Here is a 20,476-nt window from a genome sequence, read left to right on the forward strand (position 1 = left end):
CAAGGATGTCAGTCTGAATGCTCCTTGGGGAACTCTGGTGGGGCTTATTTCAGATACCTTGATTCTTCATGGTTCATAGGTTCAATGTTGAGATTGATCTTTGTGATGGTCGATCTTTAATTTATCTGCTGCTTCCACAGATATCAGTGAAAGACACAGTCCTGGCCCTGACCCATGCTGGAGGGCTCTGGAGAGACCCACAGGGTAGCAGATGGAGTATAGGATGTGAGTCTTGAGGTGGGGTGCACCCTTGTGAGGGGCACCTAACCTGGGCCTGACTTTGTTGTCATTGTTTTTTAGAAGATATTCCCTCCCTTCCTCCCTCTTTCTTCCTTCCATTCAAATTGAAATTGCTTTAGAATAGGTCACACAATCACTTGCTTCAAAACTGAAAATATGCCAAAGGTTTGAAGTCATCTTTCCATCCCTGTGCTGGGGCTGCCACGGCCCGTGCAAAATGAAAACATGGGCCCTTTGTTAAAAAGTCATTAAGAGTCATTAGGAAAATGCAAATCAAAACTACAATCAGGGCCAAGCATGGTGGCTCACCCCTGTAATCCCAGCACTTTGGGAGGCCGAGGCAGGAGGATCTCTTGACTTCAGGAGTTTGAGATCAGCCTGGGCAACATGGTGAGACTCCATCTCTACAAAAAGTTTTTAAAAATTAGCCAGGTATGGTGGCACATACTTGCAGTCCCAGCTACTCAAGGTTGCAGTGAGCAGTGATCGTACCACTGCACACCAGCCTGGGTGACAGAATGAGAGCCTGTCTCAAATAAAAACAAAAACAAAAAACTACAATTAGATACCACCTCAAACCTGTTAAAATGACTACTATTAAAACAAAACGACAACAGAAAATATTACAAGTGTCGGATGGTGAGGACATGGAGAAGATGGAACTCTCTCGCACTGTTGGTGGGAATAGTAAAATGGTGCAGCCACTGTGGAAAACACGATGGTGGTTCCTCAAAAAATTAAAGATAGAATTACCATATGATCCAGCAGCTCCACTTCTGGGAATACTTGCTATGACGTGAATGATGGTGTCCCTCCCAAAATTTATGTTGAAACTCAAACCCCAATGCACCAATATTAAGAAGTGTGGCTTTTGGGAGGTGATTAAGTCGTGAGGGAAGATCCTTCGTGAATGGGATTAGCATCATTATAAAGGGTCTGGAGGTTGAAGGCAGTGCTGTCTTGCCCTTCCACCTTCCACCAAGTGAGGACTCAGCAACAGACACCATCTTAAAGGCAGATAGCAACAGGCAGACAGCAGTCCTCACCAGACACCAATGCCAGGGCTTGATCTTGTGCTTCTCAGCCTCCAAAACTACAGGAAATAAATGTATGTTCTTTATAAATTACCTACTCTAAGGTATTTTGTTATAGCAGCGCAAATGGACTAAGACAATATTCAGAAGAATTAAAAGCAGAGTCTTTTTTTTTTTTTTTTGAGACAAGGTCTCACTCTGTTGCCCAGGCTGGAGTGCAGTGGGGTAATGCTCACTACAACCTCTGCCTCCCACGTTCAAGCAATTCTCATGCCTCAGCCTCCCAAGTAGCTGGGACTATCCCAAGTAGCTGGGACTATAGGCACTAACTACCATGCCTGGCTAATTTTTTGTATTTTAATAAAGACAGGGTTTCACCATGATGCCCAGGCTGGTCTCACACTCCTGACCTCAAGTGATCCTCCCACCTTGGCCTCCCAAAGTACTGGGATTACAGGTGTGATCCACTTTGCTCTGCTTTTTTTTTTTTTTTTTTTTTTTGAGATAGGGTCTCACTCTGTCACCCAGGCTGGAGTGCAGTGGTGCTATCATAGCTCTTTCCAGCCTTGACCTCCTGGGCTCAGGTGATCCTCCCAGCTCAGCCTCCCAAGCAGCTGGGACCACAGGTGTGCGCCACCATGCCTGGCTAATTTTTTTTGTATATTTTGTAGAGATAGGGTTTCACCATGTTGCCCAGGCTGGTCTCAAACTCCTGGACTCAAGCAATCTGTATGCCTCAGCTTCCCAAAGTGCTGGGATTAGGGCCACTCTAGCCAAAAGCAGAGTCTTAAAGAGATGTTTGTACACCCACGTACATAGCACTATTCGCAGTAGCTAAAACATGGAAACAAGGCAAGTGTCCATGGACAGATGGATGGATTAACAAATGCTCTTATCCAGACAATGGAATATGATTCGGCCTCAAAGAGGAAGGAAAACCTGACAAATGCCACAACATGGATGAACCTCACGGACATTCACATGCTAAGTGAAATAAGCCAGACACAAAGGAAATACTGTACAATACTTTTTAGAAGTACCTAGAATAATCAAGCTCATTGGGACAGAAAGTAGAAGGGAGGGTGCCAGGGGCTGGGGATAGGGAGAATGAGAAGTCAGTGTTTCATGGGGACAGATTTTCAGTTTTGGAAAGATTAAAAGAGTTCTGGGCCAGGCACGGTGACTCACGCCTGTAATCCCAGCACTTTAGGAGGCCAGGCAGGTGGACCACCTGAGGTCAGGAGTTCAAGACCCGCCTGGGCAACATGGTGAAACCCCATCTCTGCTAAAAATACAAAATTAGCAGGGCGTGGTGGCAGGTGCCTGTCATCCCAGTTACTCGGGAGGCTGAGGCAGGAGAATGGCTTGAACCCGGGAGGTGGAGGTTGCAGTGAGCCAAGATTGTACCATTGCACTCCAGCCTTGGTCATAAGAGCAAAACTCTGTCTCAAAAAAAAAAAAAAATTCTGGAGATGTATGGGGGTGAAGGTTGCACAACCATGTGAATGTACTTAATGCCACTGAACTGCACACTTAAAAATGGTTAAAATAGTACATTTTAAGTTATGCATATTTTAACACAATAAAAAATTAGAAAAAAAATCAGGAATTTCAAGACAGTGACAGGAGAGCATTAAACCGTGTACGGGGCCCTTTGGAGCCAGGCTTTGTGGCTTTGCAGGTGTCATGCTCATGAAGCCAAACCTGTCTGTCCCTCACCACCTTGGGGCTTCTCCAGGAGCAGCCAGTACTCTCTCTTCTGTCCCTGTTCACAGATATCCCATGAATGCGCAATGAGTGTGTGGATTTGTTTACTTTCCCCTTGCCCTGCTTACACAAACCAGGGCACGCAAACCTCTGTACCTGGCTGCTTCACCTTGTGTCCTTAAGCATTGCTCCATCTCAGAATAGAAAGGGCGTCCTCATTTCTCTGACAGCTCCCAAATCGTCCATTGTAGGGAGATGTCACAATTTATTAAACTGTACTACCACTGATGAGCCTTTAGGTGGTTTCCTACTTTTGATAACACAAATGACGTGGCAGTGTCTGTAAGTGCACACCAGCTGCAGGTACACAATTTCTCAGTGTGCCGGCGCATCTAGGAAAAATTCCTAGACCTGGAATTGCTGAATCAAAGAGACAATTTAAAGAAGTTAGGCTGGATACGGTGGCTCAAGCCTGTAATCCCAGCACTTTGGGAGGCCAAGGTGGGCAGATCACCTGAGCTCAGGAGTTCCAGAGCAGCCTGGGCAACATGGTGAAACCCCGTCTCTACTAAAAATACAAAAATTGGCTGGGCGTGGTGGCAGGTGCCTGTAGTCCCAGCTACCCGGGAGGCTGAAGCACGAAAATTGCTTGAACCTAGGAGGCAGAGGTGGCAGTGAGCTGAGATCACACCACTGCACTCCTGCCTGGGCGACAGAGTGAGACGCGGTCTCAAAACAAACAAACAACAACAACAAACACAAAACAAAAAAAACGAAGTTAGGCTGGGTGTGGTGGCTCACGCCTATAATCCCAGCACTTTGGGAGGCCAAGGTGGGAGGATTGCTTGAGCCCAGGAATTAGAGACCAGCCTGGGCAACATGGTGAAACCCTGTCTCTACAAAAAAAAAAAATTAAAATTAGCCAGGCATGGTGGCACATGCTTATAGTCCCAGCTACTCTAGAGGCTGAGGTGGGAGGATCGCTTGAGCCCAGGAAGTCGAGGCTGCAGTGAGTTATGGTTATGCCACTACATTGACAGAGACCCTGTCTCTAAAAATATTTTAAAACAGAAGTTGTACTAATTTACATGCATGAGAAACGTGTTTACCCACCAATGAAGTGTGTAATCAAAGTTTCTGATCCTTACCAAATAAATAACTGAAAATTTGTATTTCAGAATAGTTTTAATTTTTATTTGCCTTATTAAGCAGAGTTGATGACACACCAAAAGTGTGAACGGCAAAAGAAAGAAATGGATAACTTGGACTTTATCAAAATGAAAACTTTTGTGAATCAAAGAACATTATCAAGAATGTGAAAAGACCACCCACAGGACGGGAGAAAATATTTGCAAATCATATGTATTAGTCCATTTTCACACTGTTATAAAGAACTACCTAAGACTGGGTAATTTATAAAGACAAGAAGTTTAATTGACTCACAGTTCTGCTTGGCTGGGGAGGCCTCAGGAAACTTACAATCATGGTGGAAGGCAAAGGGGAAGCGAGGCTTGTCTTACATGGTGGCAGGAGAGAGAGATCCAAGGGGAAGTGTCAACCACTTTTAAACCATTAGATCTTGTGAAAACTCACTCACTATCATGAGAACAGCATGAGGGAAACCACTCTTATGATCCAGTCACCTCGCACCAGGTCCCTCCCTCGACAGGTGGGGATTACAATTTGAGATGAGATTTGGGTGGGGACACAGAGCCAACCCATATCATCATGTATCTGATAAGTATCTAGTATCCAGAATTTGTAAGGAACTATTAGATTTGACTACAAAAAGACAACTCAATTAACAAACGGGCAAACGACTTGAATAGATATTCTCCACAGAAGGTACACAAAGGGCCAAGAAACATGAAAAGATGTCCCGCGTCACAATCATTGGTGAAATGCAAATCAAAACCTCTATGAGACACTACCTCACGCCCACTAGGATGGCTATTATTTTTTAAAAAGAGAGAATAACAAGGGTTGGCAAGGGATGTGGAGAAATTGGAGCCTGTATACATTGCTGGTGGGAATGTGAAATGGTGCAGCTGCTGTGGAAACTGGTTTGGCATTTCCTCAAAAAGTTAAACATAGAATTACCAGACGGCCCAGCAATTCCGCTCCTAGGTATATTCCCTAAAGCACTGAAAACAGGAACTCTGACAGATACACACACATTCATAGCAGCATTATTCACAATGGCTAAAAGGTGAGGACAACCCAATGCCATCAATGGATAAATGAATAAACTGTGGTCTGTCCACACAATGGAATATTATTCAGCTATAAAAAGGAATGAAATTCGGATACATGCCACAGCATGGCTGAAACGCAGAAAACATAACTGTGTGAAAGAAACCAGACACAAAAGCCTACATTTTGTATGATTCTATTTATACAAAATTTCCTTTTGGGGTGATGAAAATATTTTGGAACAAGATAGAGGTGATGGTTTCACAACAACTTGAAGGTACTTAACTTAACGTCACTGAATTGTTCACTGTAAAATGATCGATTTTGTTAAGTCCATTTCACTTCGATTTTAAAAAGTGAAGTTGAGCTATTTTAATGTGTTCAAGAACCATATGTACTTCCTTGTCTTTGACCTGGTGATATCATTTGACCATTTTTCTATTGAGTTATTGATTTTTAGAACTGATTTGTAATTCCACTTTTTAAAGAAAATGATCCTGTGTGATAGATTGCAAATCTTTTTCTCAGTTTTTAATTTTTTTTTTTCTGAATTGGGTTATGGTGAATTTTGCTCTGAATATTAAAAAAATAATACAGTAATTACAATCAAATGTATTATTCTTTCTTTTACAGCACCTGGTTTTGGAGTAAGATTTGGAAAGATCGTTTAAAAATTCCTCCATGCTTTCTTGGAGCTCTCTGTAGGTTCTTAGATTTTTGAGCCATCTGGAGTTTATTTGGTGTCAGGTGCAAGGTTTGGATTCAGCTTTTTTTTTTTTTTTGATGATGTCTGGGCCGTTCCATCACCATTTATTACATCATCATCTTTTCCTCTCTGGGTTGAGATCCCTCATGGGTCAGTTCCTGGGCATCAGACTCTGAGACTCTAAGGCCTGTGCACCATGGGTTTAGTGGGGTGCTCTTGGGAATGACACCTGTGGAGGCCGAGGTAGGCAAGATTGGACAGAGGAAGGTCGGGTACAGTGCCTTACACCTGTAATCCCAGCACTTTGGGAAGCTGAGGTGGGTGGATCGCTAGAGTTCAGAAGTTCGAGACCAGCCTGGGCAACATAGTGAAACCCCATCTTTAAAAAAATACAAAAATTAGCTACGAGTGGTGGTGCGTGCCTGTGGTCCCAGCTACTCAGGAGGCTGAGGTGGGAGGAATGCTTGAACCCAGGAGCCAGAGGTTGCAGTGAGCCGAGATCGCGCCACTGCACTCCAGCATGGGTGGCAGAGCAAGACCCTTCCTAAGAGAAGAAAAAGAAAAAAAGATTGGGCAGAGGGCAAAGTTGGGCCACAGTGCAGTGGGAAGAGCAGCCTCTGCTCCCAACAGGGAGCTCTGGAGCTGGGGCGGCCCCACAGAGAGGCCTGATTGAGGCCAGAGGCCCTGGCCTTTGCCCCATCACATCAGCCAGCCCTGGAGGAGTGCAGCCTTAAGGGAGGCAGTGCCTGGGGAGGGACTCAGCCAGGGGCAACCCTCCTGCAGCTGAGGATAAGCACCCAGGTCCTGAGGAGGGACAGTGGGCAGCACAGCACAGCGTCCACACCCCTGCCCCTCGCCCCAGCAGCATGCACTTCCGTGTGGCAAGCTCACTCCATCCCATCCGAAGCAACACCTCCAGGACTCTGGTTGGTCCCTGTATTCGCTTCCCAGAGCTGCTGCAACAAATTACCACAAACTTGGCATAAAAGGAAAGAGATGTATTCTTCACAGTTCTGGAGGCCTGACGGCTGAAATCAAGGTGTCAGCAGGGCAGCGTCCCTCCAGAGGCTCTAGGGGAGGATCCTTCCCCACCTTTTCCAGCTTCTGGGGCTCCGGGTCTGGGACTTCGTCCCTCTAATCTCTGCCTCTGCCGTCACAGGGTCTTCGCCTCTGTGTCTGTGCCATCTCTTCTTTGTGTTACAGAGATACTTGTCATTGCATTTAGGACCCACTTCGTCATGTAGGACAATCTCATCTCGAAATCCTTAATTTAATTACACCTGCAAAGACCCTTTTCCTAAATAAAGTCACAGTCACAGGTTCCTGGGGCTAGGCCTTCGGCTTATCTTTTTAGGGGGTCACCATTCAGCCCACTCTCGTCTCTATTCCTGGGGAAACTCACAGAGGGGAGTGCATGGTTCAGATTCAAGCTCCCGCCACTGCAGGTGGCACCCAGAGGTGATGTCATCTTCCCCTCCACTCTCCACCCAAGAGCCCCTTTACCTTCAGTGAGTACCTGTGCTGGCTAGGTGGTTTACCTGGTGGGGGGACCCAGACTCGAATGCCAAGGCTATGAGCCCCAGGTCACCACGTCCTCTCAAGCTATGGCTGCTGTCTTCATGCATTTGCTGTAAAAACTGGGCATGGGAGTGAGAAGAGATGCTTTGCTGGATTCACCCCTCCCATTCTCCCCTTCCCTGCTAGGGAACAGCAGCCCTTTCTCCCCACGGACCACGGTCAGCTGCCCCTGCCAAGATGGTGACTCCTTTTCTTGCTTGCTGGCTCCTTGGCACAGAAGCCCGAAGTGCTCAGCCAGCAGCCGTAGTGCCAAGTGTAATGGGACCCATGATGCAAATCCTGCTGGAAGGGTACCGCTCTGGGAATCGGGTCTTGCAGACTCACCAAACCTAGAGTTGTGAGGTTGGAAGGCAGAAATTCCCCCAGGGAGACCACTGGAGTGACAGTAAATGGAGACATTCCTCCTTCCACCCCCTGCTTCCTGGATCAATGCATTCTGCCTACTGGGGACACGCCCCTAGAATGGTTGTTGATTTCAGGTGTATTCTGCATCTAGGAGGCTGAGGTCACATCCTTGCATCATCTTAGCCATGCCTTCAAAACGCTGTTGCATCACACTATGAGACTAGTGGCTTCTGGGTGGTGCAGCGTGTGACAGAGTCAGGGGACCCCTGGTCTACTCCAACAGCCCTTTGGCCATCAATAGGTCCCTTGGTCCAATGTGGGGATTTTCACTTTCCACCTCCCAGACTCTTGAGGGTAGCAAGGGTAGCTTGCTTCTGCCTCTAGTCATGCTCATTCTCGATCTTGATGGACAATTTTCTTTCTTTCTTTCTTTTCTTTCTTTCTTTCTTTCTTTCTTTCTTTCTTTCTTTCTTTCTTTCTTTCCTTTCTCTTTCTCTCTTTCTCTTTCTTTCTTTCCTTACTCCCTCCCTCTTTCCCTCCCTCCCTCTCTTTCTTTCCCTCCCTCCCTCCCTCTCTCTTTCCTTTCTTTCTTTCTCTTTCTCTCTCTTTCTTTCTTTCTTTCCTCCCTCCCTCTCTCTTTCTTCCCTCCCTCCCTCTCTTTCCTTTCTTTCTTTCTTCCTTCCTTCCTTCCTTCCTTCCTTCCTTTCTTTCTTTCCTCCCTCCCTCTCTCTCTTTCTTTCCCTCCCTCCCTCCCTCTCTCTTTCCTTTTTCTTTCTTTCTTTCTTTTCTTTCTTTCTTTTCTTTTGAGTTTTGCTCTTGTCACCTAGGATGTAGTGCAATGGCATGATCTCTGCTCACTGTAACCTCTGCCTCCCGGGTTCAAGTGATTCTCCTGTCTCAGCCTCCTGAGTAGCTGGGATTACAGGCACCCGCCACACCAGCCAGCTAATTTTTGTATTTTTTTTTACTAGAGACAGGGTTTCATCATGTTGGCCAGGCTGGTCTCAAACTCCTGACCTCGGGTGATCCACCCGCCTCGGCCTCCCAAAGTGCTGGGATTACAGGCGTGAGCCACCGCGCCCGGCCTTGATGGACAATTTCTATCTCACAGTGGATCCTGCTGGGTCTACCTGACCTTCTGGCTTGGCAGGTCTGAAAAGACCCAGCTCATGACAGGCAATTCTAGTTGCGTGCCTGTTGATGGTTGATAGCCAAACATTCCATCTCCAGCAGGGCCCCGGAGCTGTTTTTCAAACTATGTATAATTCTCTGCTGCAAATGGCATGGCCTTTCTCCAGTTGGGGCTTGTCATCAGCAATGCATGGCATCTTTTTTCCTGCACAAGCTCTAGAACCATCGGGTCTGCAGAGCCATGTGGCCTGGGTGGCACAGCTGTCCCCACTGCAGAGCCCCTTCCACCTGTGGGTTCTCTCAAAGCTGGCTGCCTTTCATGGATTCCCAAGTACAGAACATGCTGCCTCCAGAGTCCAAGTAATCTCCAAGCAGCCCTCCACGGTGGGAGCGGGTATTTGTCTACTTTTAATGTCTCAGCATGCCTTAGACATCCGGACCCATACAAACCTTGTAGGCCTTTTTTTTTGAGATGAAGTCACACTCTGTCACCCAGGCTGGAGTGCAGTGGCGCAATCTCGGCTCACTGCAACCTCTGCCTCCCGGGTTCAAGCGATTCTCCTGCCTCAGCCTCCCGAGTAGCTGGAATTACAGGCCCATGCCACCACACCCAGCTAAATTTTGTATATTTAGTAGAGACAGGGTTTTGCCATGTTGGCTAGGCTGACCTCGAACTCCTGACCTCAGGTGATCCGCCCACCTTGGCCTCCCAATGTGTTACAGGCATGAGCCACCGCACCCGGTCCCTGATAGGCTTTATCTCCTGTCCCTAGAGTGCAGGTGTCTTACAAGGTTTCCAAAGTACTAGCCGCTTCTTGCCCATCTTATCTCATTAATGTGATAGCATCGGTATAGTGGACTTCCATGGTATTCTCCTGGAAGTCCAGGTCCCTTAGGTCTGTATTATGACAGATGGAAGGAGAGTTAACAGAGCCCTGGGGCAACACAGTAAACATTTACTGTTGTCCATTCCATGTGAATGCAGCCTGCTTCTGGCCTCCTTTGTGATCAGGGTGGAAAAGAACGCACTTGCCGGGTCAATGGCTGCCAATCATGGACCTGTGGCCATGTCATTCTGCGTTAGCCGAGATGTCACATCTGGAAGAACAGCTGCCATTGGGGCTACCACTTAGTTGGGTTTGCAGTCTACTGTTAGCCTCCAGGATTTATCTGTGCTTTTGAGAGAGTCTAGTCAGTTATCAATGTCATGGTCCTCTGCCCAGTTTTCAGACCTATGACAATTCTCAGATCCAAAACTCATTGGCTAGGGAGAGGCTAGGTTCCATATGCAACCCCATGAACAGTGTGTACGGTTATGACTCCCCCAGTTCTTCCCCAGGGACCTGTGGCCACTTAGGTCACCATCCATGGAGAAAGGGGACCATTCACACAATGTCTGGGTGTGCAGGAGGACTGCACGTCCTGCAACCTTGAGGTCTCTGAGAGTGGCGCAATCTCCGCGGCTCCCCCAAGGATGCAACACTTTGTGTATGCACAGTCTTAGCTAGGGGGTGGTGGTGTATTAGACGTCTATTGCTGCTGTAACATGGCACCATACACTTGAAACAACATTGGCTTCAAACAACATAGATTTATTATCTTACAGTTCTGAAGCTCGGAAGCCCAAAACGAGTTTCACGGAGATAAAATCAAGGTATCAGCAGGGCTATGTTCTTTCCCGGAGGCTGTAGGGAAGACTCTGTTTTCTTGCCTTTTCTCCCTTCTCGAAGCCTCCTGCATGGCTCATGACCCCTTCCTCCATCCTCCGAGCCAGCAACACTAGGCTGAGTCCTCCTCGCACGACATCGCTCCGACTTCTTCCATGGTCACACTTCCCTCTTACTCTTCTGCTTCCTTTTTTCAAGTCTAAAGACCCTGTGATTACATTAGGCCCACCCAAGTAATCCAAAACAATGTCTCCATCTCAAACTCAGCTGGTTAGCAACCTTAATTCCAACGGCAACCTTCATTCCCCTTTGCCATGTAAGGTGACATAGCCACAGGTTCTGGGGATTCAAGTGGGGACTTCTTTGGAGGGCCAATATTCTGCTGCTATGCTCCGAATATTTTTGTCCCCCCCCTCCCCAATTCATGTGTTGAAATCCTAACTCCCAAGGTGATGGTGTTAAGAGGTGGGGCCTTTGGAAGGGATGAGTGCCCTCATAAAACAGACTGAAGGGTTCTCATTCATCCTCCGCCTCCATGCAGACAGTGAGAATCTGTCATCTATCAAGCAGGTACTGAGCCCTCAGCAGACCTTGAATCTGCTGGAGCCTTGATATTGGATTTCCAGCCACCAGAAGTGTGAGTCATAGACTTCTGTTGTTTCTACACCACCCAGTTTATGGTATTTTGCTCCAGCGCCCTGCACGGACTAACGCTGCCCACCAGGGGTGCAGTGACAAAGGCTTCCACCTGCCTTCCTCGTTTTGACAGCTCTTACTGGGATGAACGGACGAGGGCAGAGGTTATGTCCACACCAACTTTACATTCAGGGACCAGGAAATGACCACTGGATGGGTCCCTGGTGCCAGTGAACCTGCTGCGAGCCACTGGGGCAGGGTGATATTTATCACTTGGCCCTCACACTCTAACAGAAAGACCACGCTTACACTTTGAGTCCCCAAGTATCAACTCAGACATTGTGTGAATGGTCCCCTTTCTCTATGTGTGGTAACCTAAGTCAGCGGCCCAGGTCCCTGCAGAAGGATGGGGGAGTCATGACCATACACACTGTTCATGGGGTTACACATGGAACCTAGCCTCTCCTTAGCCGATGCGTTTTGGATCTGAGAATTGCCATAGGTCTGAAAACTGGGCTGGGGACCATGACTTTGATAAGCATCTGCCCTCCATCTCCTTTGTCCACGCTTGGCTCCTTGAAGCTGTATAAGTGAAGCAGCCCCCTTCCTGGCTGCCTATCACACCCCTTGGGACACTGTGTTCTTTTTTGTTTGTTTATTTTGTTTTGTTTGAAACTCCATCTCAAAAACAACAACAACAACAAAAACTCCCAGACTCTAGCCATTCTCCCATTGCTCTGTCACCCAGCTCAGCTCACTGCAACCCCCGCCTCCCAGGTTCAAGCAATTCCCTGCCTCAGCCTCCTGGGTAGCTGGGATTACAGGCACCTGCCACCATGCCCAGCTAATTTTTGTATTTTTAGTAGAGACGGGGTTTCATCATCTTGACCAGGCTGGTCTTGAACTCCTGACCTCGTGACGTACCCACCTTGGCCCCTCAAAATGCTGGGATTACAGGCATGAGCCACCGCGCCTGGCCAGACACTGTGTTCTCTTTCCTTTTTTAATTTCTTTCTTTCTCTTTTTTTTTTTTTTTTTTTTTTTGAGACAGAGTCTCGTTCTGTCACTCAGGCTGGAGTGCAGTGGTGAGTTCTCGGTTCACTGCAACCTCTGCCTCCCAGGTTCAAGCGATTCTCCTGCTTCAGCCTCCTGAGTAACTGGGATTAGAGGCGTGCACCACCACACCTGGCTAATTTTGTATTTTTAGTAAAGATAGGGCTTCACCTTGTTGGCCAGGCTGGTCTCGAACTCCTGACATCAGATGATCCGCCCACCTCGGCCTCCCAAAGTGCTGGGATGACAGGCGTGAGCCACCGCACCCGGCTGGGACATTGCGTTCTATTAACCACCCTCAGAGCTCTCTCTGGGTCAGCACCCTCACTGCACTGCCAATCTGCCCTTGTTGCTTTTTTATGGGAATTTGTAAGGTTGTCCTGGGGGTCTACCATCCCCACTGGTGTCTGGGAGCCTGTGCTGTACCAGCACCTCCTACAGGCAGTCCTGCCCACAGACGGGCTTTCCAGTGTGTCTCCCCTCCCCATGTCCCTCGTTGCTTGAGTCTCCCATGGAACACAGGTGCTGAGTGCAGTGTCCAGCCTTCACGTGGAACGCCACTCCAGCCCCGCCACGTCTCTCAGCCTTTGGTCTCTTCCTCTGCCATCTGCCACGGTTGGTCTGGGATTTTTGCTTTGCTCAATGTAGATAACCCTTTTCTCCAAACAGGAAAAAGAGCCATTAAAGGCACTGAAATAGGAGGCCTTCCCTTTTCTTCCCTCTGCAGAGTCTCTCTCTATTTACAGTGCTTTTATTTGCTAATTTAGGCCACTCTAAGTAAAGAAAAATTAAAACTTTAAATTATTACATGCATATTTCACTACTGGCCTTTATAAGGTGCAATGACAGTTTTAATGGCAAATACAAAAGCATTTAACTCATGTGGAATCGCTGAAACCTCACAACCCCCGTTGCGTAGCTTGTTCATGGACACGTACTTCGTGTTTAGCAGCGGAGTGGAGACGCCCCACAAACCAGACTCAGCTGCGTGTATTTCACTTCTTGAGATGCACATTCTCCCAACACTCCCCGCCTCCAGCCTCCTGCTGAGTAAGGAAGGGCTGAGAGGAAAAGAGCCGGAGTGGGCCCCGCCTTTCCCTGTCCTTCTATGCCATCACGTCAGCGTGAGTGCTTGGCTGATACAGGGAAATGACACAAGTCAGGAAGGACTTCATGGGCTGCCTTGGCCGTTCATGTTTCTTAGAATTCCATTGCGTTATTATTTCTGTGATTGAAGCAAGTTCTGGTTGGAACAGAAAGCGTGGGCATTTGGAACCACCTGGGTCCCCTCGTCCTCAGCTGCAGACATGATATGTTCACCTTGCTCACTGAGTCTCACTGAACACCCACGGGCGTGGGTCTGCTGGGACACTGTGCTCATGGGGCTTTGCCAATGTGATATGGCAGTAGGGCACGTCCTGTGAGTCTCTGCCCACACGTGCGCTCCACCACCCCAGAGACCTCAGTTGCAAAACACAAGCTCAAAGATAAAATAATCATCATCATTATTATTATTATGTTATTATGTCGAGACAGGGTCTTGCTCTGTCGCCCAGGCTGGAGTGCAGCCTCAAATTCCCAGGCTTGGCTGGGCGCAGTGACTCATGCCTGTGATCCCAGCACTTTGGGAGGTCAAGGTGGATGGATCACCTGAGGTCAGGAGTTTGAGATCAGCCTGGCCTACATGGCGAAACCCCGTCTCCACTAAAAATACAAAAAAAAAAAAATTAGCCGGGCATGGTGGCAGGCATCTATAATTCCAGCTACTCGGGAGGCTGAGGCAGGAGAATTGCTTGAACCCGAAAGGCAGAGATTGCAGTAAGCCGAGATTGCACCACTGCACTCCAGCCTGGATGACAGAGTGAAACTCTTGTCTCAAAAAAAACCAACAACAACAACAACAAAAACTCCCAGGCTCTCCCAGCACTTTGGGAGGCCAAGGCGGGCGGATCACGAGATCAGGAGATCGAGACCATCCTGGCTAACACGGTGAAACCCCGTCTCTACTAAAAAAAAATACAAAAAAATTAGCCAAGCTTGGTGGTGGGCGCCTATCGTCCCAGCCACTCGGGAGGCTGAGGCAGAAGAATGGCGTGAACCAGGGAGGCGGAGCTTGCCGTGAGCGGAGATCGCACCACTGCACTTCAGCCTGGGCGACAGATCAAGACTCTGTCTCAAAACAAAACAAAACAAACAAACAAACAAAAATCCAGGCTCAAGCCATTCTCCCTTCTCAGTCTTCTGAATAGCCGGAACTACAGGCACATGCCATTGTGCCTGGCTAATATTTTTTATTTTTTGTAAAGATGGGGGTCTCACTGTGTTGCCCAGGCTGGTCTTGAACTCCTGGGCTTAAGTGACCCCCCCCCATCTCAGCCTCCCAAAGTGCTGGGATTACAGGCATGAGCCATTGCACCCAACAAAGATAAAATTATTAAGAATTTTGAGCTGGCAGTGGCAGGGCATTAAGCCAAGCACAGGTCCTTCTGGGCTCGGGGCCCTGTGTGACCACAGCCGTTGTGTTCCTGCAACATCAGCCCTGTTTATACACACGTACACCTATGTGTATACACACTATTGAAATGTTTTACAACTTCCTTTTTTTAACTTAATAACATAGCTCAAAAATCATACTATGCAAGAATATGCCTTACATATTCCTTAAAAATATACTTAGTGCTTTTAAGAGAATGTATAACATTTCATTCAATGTATCAAAATTTATTTAGCCAATTTTCTTTTCATAGACTCCCTTTTCCTCAATTTTTCCCCCTTACAAAACAATACTGCTTCAAATATCTTCGTGCACTTGAGTAAATGTTTCTGTCCCAATATTTCTATGGGTGAAGTTTCTGGAAGTGGAGTTGCTGGCTCACAGTGTATGAAGATTGTATATTATAAGAGATAACAACACCTTACCAATTTATTTCTTCACCTGCCACAGTGCACACCTGTTTCCGCATGCCTCCTCCGACATGTGATATTATCAGAGTTTTAGATCTTTGCATCTTGGCAAAAATGCCTCATTGCTGTTTTTATTTGTATTAAATCATCACTAAGATTGAGGATTTTATCACGTTTGTTGATTCATTTGTATTTCTTCTCTTGTAAACTATCTGTATTCTTTGAATGATGTTCCGTTGCTTTAAAAAAGAAACAGTAAACTTTTCATGTTAGAATGGTTTTCGACCTGCAGACAAGTGTTGCAGACTGTACAGAGTTCTCATTACCTGACACCATTTCCCCTCCCATTAATACCTTTCATTCATGTGGGAAATTTGTCACAATTAAAGAACCAGCATTGATGTTAAAGTCCACACTTTCTCCACATTGCCCTGGTTTTTACCTATTATCCTTTTTCTTTTCCAGGATCTCACATGACATGCAGTGTTCGGGTCTCCAGGCTCCTCTTGGCTGTGACAGTACTCGGACTTTCCTTGTGTTTTTTGTTTGTTTGTTTTTGAGACGGAGTTTTGCTCTGTCACCCAGGCTGGAGTACAATGGTGCAATCTCAGCTCACAGCAACTTTCACCTCCTAAGTTCAAGCGATTCTCCTTACCTCAGCCTCCCGAGTAGCTGGGACTACAGGTGTGCATCACCATGCCCAACATTTTTTTTTTTTTTTTGTATTTTAGTAGGGACACGGTTTCACCATATTGGCCAGGCTGGTCTCGAACTTCTGACTTCAAGTGATCCGCCCGCCTTGGCCTCCCAAAGTGCTGGGATTACAGGCGTGAGCCACTGCGCCCAGCCTGGTCAGGGGTTTTACAGACCGTCCCTCTATTGGGATGTGTCTCGGTTTTTCTCCGGGGCCAGAAGCACGGAGGTGAAGTGCGCTTCTCACCCCACCACGTGAAGGGTCCGAGCTCTCACCCACCATGCGGCTGTGATGTGGGCCCGGATCACCTGGCTGAGCGGGAGGTGTCAGGTTTTTCCACGGACAGGTTATTCTTTCCCCCTTTTCATACTGCCCTGCCACATTTTCGTTTCACTCTCATTTGATTCATGTATCAGAAAATAAGCTCTTGAAACCCCAAGGCAGAGCGGCTCTCCCTGGTCTGCCCGTGGTGCTGGGCAATGGCTGAGTTCTCATCACCTCTCCCTGCATTGCCCACTACCCAAGGCTCGGGGCGTTTGCCCGCGTGGGTGAGGGCCCTCAGTGCCCCGGCCCTGCGGCCCCTGGTTTCAACTCCAGTCTTGGTAGCAGCCTTTGGCAGGGGCTGGCTATGAGTAAGGAAGGGCTGAGAGGAAAAGAGCCGGAGCGGGTCCCGCCTTTCCCTGTCCTTCTATGCCATCACGTCAGCGTGAGTGCTTGCCTGATACAGGGAAGTGACACAAGTCAGGAAGGACTTCATGGGCTGCCTTGGCCGTTCATGTTTCTTAGAATTCCATTGCGTTATTATTTCTGTGATGGCAGTTCCCAGGCCTGTCCTGAAATCCAGGTGTCCCGCTGGAACTTCAGTCTCTACGTGGCCAAAATGAATGTTTTCCTCCTGCAGTCTTGACTCCTCCAAGATCTGTTGATTGTCCCCAAACATTCCCAGAGTCTGCTCCGTCCTTTGCCAGCCTCTGTCTCTCTACCTGATGTACCGTAAAGGCCTCCAGACCAGCCAGGCTGACCCACCGAGCTGGCTTGGCTGGGACTGAGGGTCCTTCGGGGAGTGGCTGTCCAGTGCTAACACAGACGGTTAGACACCCTCCAACGTGTGGCCCTCATCCTCCCAGCTTTCCTCCCACAAACACTCGGCCACGGTTGCAAGAGAATTCTTTCTATAACTCAAATTCCTTCTCTTTTCTCTCCTGCCTGAGACTCCAAAGCACTTTCAGGATAAAATCCACCCCAGAGGGTTTAGGGGACTGTAAAAACAAAAACACATGAATTAATGAAAAAACCCAGCCATGTCATGGCACAGAGGCCTTTCACCCTCCGCCTCGGGCCTCCGCCCTGCCCCGCCCCATCCTGGTGCTTCAGAGACAGTTCCGCACCAAATGCTATGTCTTGGGGAAAAGGTGGCAAACAGGCTTGTGCAGGACAGACTACATCTTTATGTCTTTAGATGATTTTGCCTCTGAAATTGCATTAGTTTCCTGCGGTTGCCCTAACAAACTACCACAAATGAGGCAGCCTCAGCAATGGAAATCTACTGTCTCGCAGCTCTGGGGGCAGGAGCCCCAGGTCCAGGGCCCAGCAGGGCAGGCTCCTGCGGCTCGGAGGGAGAGTCTGTTCTGGGCCTCTCTCCTGTCTTCTCCGGGCTGCAGGCAACCCTTGGTATGCCTCGACTTGTAGGTGCATGACTCCAGTCTCTGCCTCTCTCCTCTCCCTGTGTGTGGCAGTCTCTGTGTCCTCCCCTCCTCTTACAAGGTCACCACTGATGAGGTTTAGGGTCCACCTGAAATCCAGGATGGCCATGTCTCAAGATCCTTAACTAATTACCTCTGCAAAGACCTTATTAACTCCTTTCCTGAGGTTCTGGGTGGACAGGAATTTGTCGGGACCACCAGGCAACCCAGTACAGACATCCTGGAGGCTGAATATGCTGTTGGGGAAACTGAGGCAGGTGTCTGGATCTGTTCTCAGGATTGAGGGTGAGTGGGGTGGACCTTTGTGAAGTCCTGTCGTTTGCTTGCAGGGTTGGGGGTGCCCTGGGCAGCAGACTCACAGGGAGACTCCTGGTTGGGGGGGTAATCAGTTCTGGATTCCTGTGCGGAGAACAGCATCAGGAGGCAGGACCCAGCAGAGGGCAGAGGCAGCGGCCACGCAGTCAGTCCTGAGGAACTGCATCCATCTTGCAGGAGCTCTGTAGACAGGAGGCCCCCAGCACTACCCCGAGTTGGGGAAAGAGGGCTGGGCCTTCATATTAGCCTCAATGGTCCTTGGAAGCCCCTGCCCTCAGAGGGGTGTGCCCTTAGCTGGGCCCATGGCCGAGGGCCACTTGATTTCTGATAATCAGCCCTTTATTCTGGAAGCGGGATCTGGTGTCCACCACCACGGGCCCTTAGGTGGATCTTTCTGTTTCTGAAACTCCCTGGTTCTTGCAGGCCTTGGTTTGTCCAAGCAAGTCAGTGTGCTGACCCCCTGACCAGACAGGACACCCATCCTTGACCTGTGGCCACGCCCACCCTGCCCCTTGGCCATGCTCATGCCACCCCATAACCACGCCCACCCTGGCTCACAGCCTCACTCACCCTAACCCCGGCCAGGCCTCCTGTGTGGAACCTGACTGGGGACCCAACGAGGAGGCCAGTGTTCATGGAGAGGCTGCAGATTCTTCATCAGATTTGCCAAAGGATGTGTGGCAGGAGGGACGGGAGCCACATCCATGTTTGAGTTTTTGCCACGTATCTCTCAGGGTGCAAGAGGAGGTCAGGACAGACCTCCTGGCTCCTGACTCCCTGTGGGGCCAGGGCTCAGGGTGGCCACCCTTATGCTGGGTGGCCCCTTCGCCTTGTGTTGGAAAAAGCCCTGAAGGTGGGGGAGTTTGTGGAGAACCAGCCCCTACGGGGCTTCCCTGTGCCCCCCAGGACCCAGCAGGGGCCGCAGGTGTTGTCAGTGTGCCCCCCAAGATCAGAGTGCAGGCTGCTGGGCAGGCTCTGCCGGTGGCCCTGGGACACACTCCCTCATCGCTCTCACTAGGCCAGCGTTGTCATCCCATTTTGCAGGAGGGGAAGCCGAGGTCTGGGGAAACTGGAGTACCAGCCTGTTCCTTGGCTCGGAGGCTGCTCGGCTCAGGCTGGCCTATCTGATGCTGGAGACTGGGGATCTTTCTGCAGGGACCAAGGGCCTGAGGGAGCTGACTGGGAAGCCCACCCTGGGGACTGAGAGCATCCTCCATCCTCCGGGGGCTGTCCAAGCAGGGGGAGGGGGCAGTTGTGGCTGCAGAGCAAGTGGATACGTTTGGGAAGGAGGCAGGGAGGGGGCTGGGAGCTTTTGCAAAGTGGACAAAGGTTTGGGGGCAAAATCCTTCAGCTCCATGAGAAGGAGCTTAACATATCCTGGGTCATCAGGGATGCGTGTATAGACTCGGCGAGGAGGCTCAGCAACCGAGGGGTGGGCCCTGGGGACCGATCCCGTGTTGCGGTTGGAGATACTACAATGGGTGGTAAGAATGATGATGGTTTTGACAAGAGTAAGGAGCAGAAGCACAGCCGCAGCGGTCACATATTCAGCACAGACTCTGCCCCTGCTATCCCCTGCCACCCCCTGCCAATGCCTGCCACCCCTGCCACCCTCTGCCATCCCCTGCCACCCCCTGCCATCCCCTGCCACCCCCTGCATTTTGCATCTGTTCTTTGTTTGGCTGTGCCTTGCCCTGACCCTGAGAGATCAGTATTTTTCACCCTCTCTGGCAGTGGAGGTGACCAAGGCCCAGAGAGGTGTGGCAACTTGCCTGAGGTCACACAGCTGGAAAGGGGCAGAGCTGGGATTTAGACCCTGGTCTCTGGTGTCTGTCACTACCTCCAGTGACTTCTCTATGTTGAGGTGAGCCCATAGCCGGTCCATACTGTGAGCCTACCATCGACCTGGCCCTCCCCGGCCAGTGCCCGCTGCTGGCTGCACCTGTGATCCCCAGGGCTCCCCTGGGTTCTGGAGGCAGCAGGGGCCGCCAGGCTGCCCTTCCTCCCTTCCACCAGCCTGCAGCAGGGTAACGGAAGGGGAGGGATAATTGTGGCTATTTATTCATGGTCACATACCTGTCGCCTGCGCAGTTGGGGCCTGAGGAAGGGCTCCCCGGCCAGCTGCACGGGGGCTGAGCAGACAGAGACATCCGCCTTTGCATCCCCATCAGCAGGACTCAGCTCCCAATTTAGAGACTGACTCCCTTGATTGAGGGCCAGGGAGCTCCCAGAGCAGCCAGGCTGACCTCGGCCTCCTGTCCCCAAGCGCTGTGTCCAGGAGGCCTGACCCCAGACCCCTGGCCCACCCCACCTGCCTTCTGAAAACCTGCCACCTGGGGCCTGGACACCCCTTCTTTGCTCCCACCAGGGCTGAACTCACCCACGATGGCCTCCCCAAGCCCCCCCAACCCGCTGTGTGGTCAGGTGGCCGCCCCAGTCTCAGGCCCCCCTAGCTCAGCCCCACTCCAGCCTCGGATGTCCTCTGTGGCCAGGAATAACCAAGTGACTCAGGCAGTGCCTGCAGCAATGACCCCACTCCCCAGGAACTTTCCCTTACAAGGCTGTGTGCA

The 20,476-nt window shown here is 49.6% G+C and overlaps 1 annotated feature.

The window, feature by feature from the left end:
• Positions 7,107 to 8,088: an enhancer, noted in NCBI's record as "H3K4me1 hESC enhancer chr17:77875585-77876566 (GRCh37/hg19 assembly coordinates)". NCBI's record gives its function as "activates a minimal SCP1, AML or CMV promoter by ChIP-STARR-seq in naive H9 embryonic stem cells {active_cell/tissue: H9 hESC(naive)}" and the evidence as "EXISTENCE:reporter gene assay evidence [ECO:0000049][PMID:30033119]".

The sequence above is a fragment of the Homo sapiens genome, chromosome 17 (genome assembly GCF_000001405.40).
Source record: "Homo sapiens chromosome 17, GRCh38.p14 Primary Assembly".
In the NCBI taxonomy this organism is placed as follows: domain Eukaryota; kingdom Metazoa; phylum Chordata; class Mammalia; order Primates; family Hominidae; genus Homo; species Homo sapiens.